The sequence below is a fragment of the Homo sapiens genome, chromosome 10 (assembly GCF_000001405.40).
Source record: "Homo sapiens chromosome 10, GRCh38.p14 Primary Assembly".
In the NCBI taxonomy this organism is placed as follows: Eukaryota; Metazoa; Chordata; class Mammalia; order Primates; family Hominidae; genus Homo; species Homo sapiens.
In genome coordinates, this window is record NC_000010.11 from 17237972 (window position 1) to 17246135 (window position 8164).

General features: G+C 42.2%; 1 annotated feature.

Moving 5' to 3' along the window:
- Positions 799-1093: a silencer, noted in NCBI's record as "tiled region #14556; K562 Repressive non-DNase unmatched - State 18:Pol2". NCBI's record gives its function as "represses a minimal TATA promoter and a strong SV40 promoter by Sharpr-MPRA in K562 cells {active_cell/tissue: K562}" and the evidence as "EXISTENCE:reporter gene assay evidence [ECO:0000049][PMID:27701403]".

Genomic DNA, 8164 nt, shown 5'->3' on the forward strand with positions numbered 1-8164 from the left:
GGGCTTATCTTCCGCTAGCAAGATGCAGAGAAATGGAAAAAGTTCACCAAGTTTTTCTTTTATTTAAGACAGGATCTCACTTTGTCACTCAAGCTGGAGTAAAGTGACTCAATCATAGTTCACTGCAGCCAACAACTCCTAGGCTCAGGCAATCCTCCCACCTCAGCCTCCTCAGTAGCTAGGAGTACTCAAAACAAATAAACGAATGTCTAACTTTAGCCTAAAATGTGAGTTGTCTTCCCAAAACTAGCCACACACCTGGCTAATTTTTTTAATTTTTTGTAGAGATGGGGTCTGGAAGTGTTGTCCAGCCTAGTCTGGAACTCTTGTGCTCAAGTGATCCTCCCTCGGCCTCCTAAAAAGCTGGGATTACAGGCATGAGCCACCACACTCAGCCTAGTTCACCAAGATTTAATATATGAAACCGTTCTGCTTTATTGTGTGTGTGTGTGATAGCTATATCTATATCCATCTATCTATAGATACAGATATTTGTAAAGACCTTTGTGTTTGGAGAATGGCATTAGGCACAAAATAAAACCTCCTACCTTTTCTTCCAGGGAGATGAGATTATTACATGTGAATCGCATGGTGCTAACTGTAGGTGTAATAAGGTTTCAAAGTCTGGAGCAATAAAAATGAAGTGGGGCAGTCATGGAAAGCTCCCTAGAAAGCACTCAGTGTGAGCATAGAACTTACATAAATAGACGAGAGAAGGTATTGCCAAGAGGCAATAGTGTAGTAATGGTCAATAATGTGTGTTCTGGAGTGAAAACTTCGAGTACATTCTCGGACATCTCTAAGTTTCAAATTATGGAAATATTATTATCTTCTCTCCTCCGAGAATGATGTGGTAGACATTGTCATAATTTTTCTGTGTTTGCATCTGCCTCTCTCTGGAGTTAACTAGTGAGATGGTTCTCACAAAGCCCTGCCCATTTGCAGGAATGTTCACTGTGATTTTCATCATTTTGGTTACCGTGGGTACTGCATGAATAAAGAAAGGATTGGGGCTGGATGCAGTGGCTCATGCCTGTAATATCAGCACTTTGGGAGGCTGAGGCGGGTGGATCACTTGAAGTCAGGAGTTCCGGACTAGCCTGGCCAACACGGCGAAATCCTGTCTCCACAAAAAATACAAAAATTAGCCAGCCGTGGTGGTGGATGCCTATAACCCCAGCTACTCTGGAGGCAGAGGCAGTAGAATTGCTTCAGCTTGGAAGGTAGAGGTTTCAGTGAGCCAAGACTGTACCACTAAACTCCAGCCTGAGTGACAGAGCGAGATCCTGTCTTAGAAATAAAGAAAAAAAGGATTGGCTGCTGAAGTAACTCCTAGCCATTCTAAAGGTAAATTCTAAATGTAAAAGTAAACTTTACATTCTAGTTTACTTGGGACATTCTTGGTTTATGACTGTTGTGTAAGCATAATTATTAATAATAACAGTTTGGACAATAGATTGTATGTGGTCAGGTCATGCTACCCTTAGAATAATCTTACAGAAAATGTGTCTGTCCCCTCAGCCCCCATATTCAAACAACTGACATGGACAATGGCATAATTAATTTTATTAGTGTAAACATCCAGGTCTTTGGGCCCTTATGAAACCTTTTCTATTTGATTTTTCGTTTTGCTTTCTGTTCTTTAGCCATTCTCACCACTGTTCCCCGCAGCCTCCTAACCCTAGGATCCCTGTCTCCTCTTCCACTTGTATCCCACCTTTGGCTTATAAGGGTCATCCAGGGAAGACCCCAGCCCCATATTGGCTTTCTTCACACACCAGACTCATTATTATTTTTTTAAAAATTGAAAAACAAGCCACAGTTTTCTTTCAGGGGAAAAGAACCAGGACAGCAAGTTCTGCTCATACCTATTGAGATTAGTAGACTCCCACTCTTAAAAATCCTTTACAGATGGAGGCCAGGCATGGTGACCAAGGTGGGTGGATCCCCTGAGGTCAGGAGTCCAAGACCAGCCTGGCCAATAAGGCGAAACCCCGTCTCTACTAAAGACACAAAAACTAGCCAGGGGTGGTGGTGCACACCTGTAATCTCAACTACTCGGGAGGCTGAGGCACGAGAATTGCTTGAACCCAGGAGATGGAGGTTGCAGTGAGCCGAGATTGTGCCACTGCACTCCAGCCTGGGCAACAGAGTGAGACTCTGTCTCAGAAAAAGAAAAAATATCCTTTACAGATGGAAACAACAGACACTGGGCACTTCAAAAAGGAGGAGGTTGGGAGGAGGGCAAGGGTTGAAAAACCACCTGTTGAGTACTTGGGTGATGGGTTCAATAGAAGCCCAAGCTCTAGCATTACGCAATATATCTATGTAACAAACCTGCACATATACCCCCTGAATCTCAATTAAAAAAAAAAATATCTTACAGCTCTTTCTAAAGTCACATCCCAGAAATGGAAAAGAGGAGTGGGCCTCCCTTATCTGTGACTGTCAGAAATTAGACCATAATGAAAAGCTTCACAGGTGCCCCATCTCCGAAGAATTCAAATTTATTTCAGTCTTCTTCTATTTTATCTTTAATTATACTGTTAGTGTTTTTCCTTATCTTCCACTTTGAAAAATTTATAAAAAGAAATTATGTTCTCACCACCTATGGTGAAAGAGAGATTAATGCTTGGTTCCTTCATGTATAATATTAATCCAAGATTAAAGGAGACGGAAAAAGTAGGGGGATGGGGAGAAAGAAATGGTGGCTTAAAGTGTTTAAGTCTGAAAAAAGTTACTAAGGGGATGGTGAAATCCATGGAACTCATGTGACTGTCAAGTCCTACTAAGTTTTCTCACAGTGACAGATGGAAAAGGCTGCTGGTGAATGAAACAAATGTCTACTTTTAGCCTAAAATGTAGTGAGTTGTCTTCCCACAACTAGCCGCTAACAAAGGCGCTAAAAAAATAAAATCTCTTCCCAGGCTATGAGACTAAGGGAGTGAGTGTGTGTAGTGATGGGGGAGGGAGACAGACTTTCACTCCAACTATCGTCTGAATGTTTGTGTCCCCCCAACTTTGTATGTTGAAACCTAACCTGCAACGTCATGGTATTCAGATATGTCTCTTGTGAAGTGATTAGGTCAGGAGGCTGAAGCCCTTATGAATGAGATTAATGCCCTTATAAAAGAAACTCCAGGCTGGGCGTGGTGGCTCACACTTGTAATCTCAGCAGGTTTGGAGGCTAAGGCAGGTGGATTGTTTGAGTCCAGGAATTCCAGACCAGCCTGAGCAACATCGTGAAACGCTATCTCTACAAAAAACAAAAAACAAACAAACCATGTGTGGTGGTGCACACCTGTAGTCCCAGTTACTCAGGAGGCTGAGGTAGGAGAATCACTTAAGCCCCGGAGGCAGAAGTTGCATGAGCCAAGATCATGCCACTGCACTCTAGCCTGGGTGACAGAGTGAGACCCTACCTCAAAAAAATAAAATAAAATAAAATAAAATAAAACAAAAAAGCCCATAATCCCAACACTTTGGGATGCTGAGGCAGGAGGATTGCTTGAGACCAGAGTTCAAGACCAGCTTGGGCAACAATAAGAGGCCCCATATCTACAAAAAATAAAAATATAAAAAAAACAGGCATGGTGGTACGTGCGTATAGTCCCAGCTACTTTGGAGGCTGAGGTGGGAGAGGATCACAGGAACCCAGGAACTCAAATCTGCAGTGAGCTAAGAAGGTGCCACTGTACTCCAGCCTGGGTGACAGAGGAGACCCCATCTCAAAAAAGACCCTTAAAAACCCACTTGTCCCTTCCATCATGCGAGGACACAGCAAGAAGGCACCTTCTATAAACCAGGAAGTGGCCCTCACCAGACACGGAATCTGCTGGTGCTTTGATCATGAACTTCTCAGCCTCCAGAACTGTGAGAAATGTTTCTGTTGTTTAAAAGCCACCCAGTGTGCATGATTTTGTTACAGCACCCGAAACAGCCTAAGACAGCTCCATCCTAAGGATTACTCATGAGCTTTGTGAAGGAAGCAAGGATAAAGCAGACACTATGCCCACACGAAGTCTCCCTCTCCAACCTGCCAGACCAGCTGCATGAAGAAGGGTCTGTACTACTCAGCTAGTTTTACTGTAACAGAATACCACAGACTGGGTGGTTTAAACAACAGAATTTTATTGTTTCACAGTAACAGAGGCTGGAAGTCCAAGATAGAGGTGCTGGCAGGGTTGGTTTATTCTGAGCCTCTCCCATTGGCTTGCAGATGACACGTTCTCTCTATGACCTCACATGGTCACCCCTTAGTCTGTTTGGTCTGTGTCCTAGTGTCTTCTTCTAAAGACACTAGTCCCATTGGATTAGGGCCTACCCATATGGCTCCATTTTACCTTAATCACCTATTTAAAGGCCTTATCTCCAAATACTGTTACAATTTTTTTTTTTTTTTTTGAGATGGAGTCTCACTCTGTCACCCAGGCTGGGGTGTAGTGGCACAATATTGGCTCACTGCAACCTCTGCCTCCTGGGTTCAAGCGATTCTCCTACCTCAACCTCCCAAGTAGCTAGGATTACAGCTACACACCACCATGCCCAGCTAATTCTTGTATTTGAATAGAGACAGGGTTTTGCTATGTTTGCCAGGCTGGTCTCGAACTCCTGACCTCAAGTGATCTGCCCACCTGGGCCTCCCAAAGTGCTGGGATTACAAGTGTGAGCCACCATGCCCAGCCCTCCAGTACATTTTGAAGTACTGGAGGTTAGGGCTTCAACATATGAATTTTGGGGAAACACACTTCAGCTCATACTAGGATCACCACTAAACATTGGGAAACACTCTCCTTGTCTGTACTCACAATAGGTCTGTGATACAGATTTTCAAAAGCTGTAAATTTGCAAAATCATTGATAGGGAATGCATGGCTTACAGATTTGTTGATCATTTGTGACTGCCCAGCTTCTCCATTTTTTTTTTTTTTTTTTTTTGGTCCCTTGTCTAGAGTCAGGGCAGTTTGAGGTCAGTTCCATGGAGTCTTTCTACAAAGATCTTTCATGTCAAGCAAATACTTCTTTTAGGGCACTGTAGGAGGTGAGCAGGCAGCCGTCAAAGACCTTGGAAGAGTCAATAAGTAGGGTACCCGCAAGTGAAAATTTTTCTCATTCCACAATACCAGAAGGCCGATTTCTTAGGAAGTTTCAGTTTCTTGTATGTATCAGGCACTATGCTAGGTGCTGGCTGTACAATGATAAAGTTTCCTCCGTTACTGAGTTCACAGTCTATCAGCCTAGTGGGAAAGAACAGAGAACATAAGGAAAATGCATGAGGTGTACTATATATGTTTAACTGTACATAGTACATACAAAAGCTATACAGCACAAGTAAAGCCTACAGGACATGCTTACAGGCAAGCTCTGTCTACTTCTTAAATCAACTGTAATCCATTAATTCCAGTCCCCATATAACAGCTATCTTCTCCAGGAATATTGACCAGTACGGCCTACCCGTTTTACTTGGTAAATGTGGCAAAGCAGACCACCAGGTCAATTCAGTTCAATTCAATTCTCCTTGACGCAAGGTAACCTGAAGGAGGGTCAAGTTCTGTCCTTGGAGTTCAGACAGTAGATTCCAGTCCTGATGCTGTTCATAACTCAATATAGGCTTCTGTCTCTCCAGAATATGAGATATTTTTTCTATTATCTTCTCCTTTATGTTGTTAATTATATAAATTGTACTTATATTATTTTATTTATTTATTTTTCATAGTGGCTTAAATGTCCTTCTCTGCTAATGTCAACATGTGAATAACATGTGAATTACATTTATCCATCTTTTGTTTTTGTTATGATCATTTGGTCTCTCTTTTTTTATTTTTTAGCATGTCTCATAATTTCTCCTTAATGCTGGACTTTTTAAATGGATACTTAGGTAGGACCTGGATGATGTTCTCTTCCTCTAAAGAACAAGAAAAGTTTTCTTTTTTACAGGCAAAGGGAGAACCAGGCATTACCTCGATCCTGGCCAGAGTTAGTTTTAGCCTTTGTTAGGGCTGGTCTATTTTAACATTATCTTAGTACTGGTACTTACTTCCCAACTGCGTTCTTTAGCCCTAGTGTGGGCTATTTCTCGGCCTCAACTACAACCTGCGTGCGTTTATCAAAGCCCTTCCACCTTGGCAGAGCTAAACTCTAACTTCTGTTTCTCCAACACTACTCAGGTGCTGAAATCTCTGCCCAACTTTTAGCTTCCTGGGTGCTGTTTTCTGCTGTGTTTCTTGGAGCCTCTTCCTGAACATGCAGCTTAGGAGACGGCCAATAATTGGAATGAATTCCTGTCCCCTAAGCCCAATAAGAATTCCATTTTATGTTTGAGCTCTCTCTCCCTCATTTGGAAATTACCCTCATGGGAAAAGCCAGGCAAACATGAATTTTACCTTGGATATTTTTCTTCTTTCAAGGAGTATAACTCTCCAACTCAATTCAGGACTGCATTGTTTGCTTTCATAGGCATTCAAACAGGTAGGGGTGTGTGTGTGGTGGGGCAGGGTGTGTGTGTGTGTGTGTGTGTGTTCCAAATACTATAGTTGTTTTTATGGAGGGGAGAGGTACAGACATCCCCAGCTTACAATGGTTTGATGATTTTTCCACTTTACAATGGTGTGAAAGAGATATGCATTGAGTATGCTCCTTGACTTAAGATTTGTTTACTGGGAGGTAACCTTACCATAAGTTGAATAGCATTTGCATTCCAGTTATCTATTGCCACTCTGAAACATCGAACTGCAAAACTCAGCAGCTTAAAACAACAATTTATGTTTCTGTGAGTTGGCTCAGCTGGAGAGTTTACTAGGGAATGTTCATGCAATTACAATGAGATGGCAGCTGAGCTGTGGTTATCTGAAGCAAACTGTACTGGACTTGTAAGATGTCTTCTTCATTCTTCTGTCTCTTTCTTCAGTGCTCCTTGACTTATTTTACTTTCTACTAATTATCTCAGAATCCAGGGCCTAGGCATCTCACAGCAAGATCTCAGGTTATTTATGCTTCTGGCATTGTGACTCACTGCTAAGAGGCAGAAAGCAGTAATGTCCAGGTTTGATAAGGGTTGCATCTGTAAATGGCACAGGATAATTACCATTATATTTTGTCAGTCAAATAAGTCACAAGGACCACCCAAATTCCAGGATAGAGAAGCAGATTCCACTTCTTCATGGGAGAGTGGCAAGGTCACACTACAGAAGAGCATGTGAGATGAGATAAGATTGTGTGCAATTTTGGCAGATACAATCTACCATAGATACAACCTATTCTTCTATTGTTTACTTTATGATTTTTCCACTTTATGATGGTGCAAAAGTACCATGCATTTGGTGTGCTCCTTGACTGAAGAAGAGTTTATTGCAGGGTAGCTCAACTAGGTTAATGAAACACCATAAATCTTTTAAACAAGAAGTCTCAATCAAAACTGACTGAAGAAGATATGAAAAATCTAAATAGGCTGGGAGCGGTGGCTCACACCTGTAATCCGAGCACTTTGGGAGGCCGAGGAGGGTGGATCACCTGAGGTCAGAAGTTCAATACCAGCCTGGCCAACATGGTGAAACCCCGTCTCTACTACAAAAATTCGCTGGGCCTAATGGCATGCGCCTGTAATGCCAACTACATGGGAAGCTGGGAAAGGAGAATTGCTTGCACCCGGGAGGCAGAAGTTGCAGTGAGCAGAGGTGACGCCATTGCACTCCAGCCTGGGCAACAAGAGCAAAACTGTCTCAAAAAAAAAAAAGAAAGAAAGAAAGAAAGAAAAATCTCAATAGTCTCGTTACCATCAAGTCAAGTCAAGTTCTGCCAAGCATTTAATATACAAAGTCAAGTCAAATGCTTCCAGATCAGAAAATGAGGAAACATTATCAAACTTACTATATTTGTGAATCTATTCGTGCTACTGTCATGAAATATCTGAGACTGGGTAATTTATAAAGAACAGAAATTTATTTTTCATAGTTCTGGAGCTGGGAAGTCGAAGATCAAGGCGCTAGCAGGTTCCGAGTCTGGTCAGGTCAGCTCTTCATTTCCAAGATGGTGCCTTGTTGCTGTAATGTTCCCCTCTGGAGGAATATTGTGTCTTCAGATGGCAAAAGAGATGGAAGGGGTGAAAAGGGTTGTATTCCCTCTGTCAAGACCTTTTATAAGAAACCTAATCCCATTGATGAGAGTGT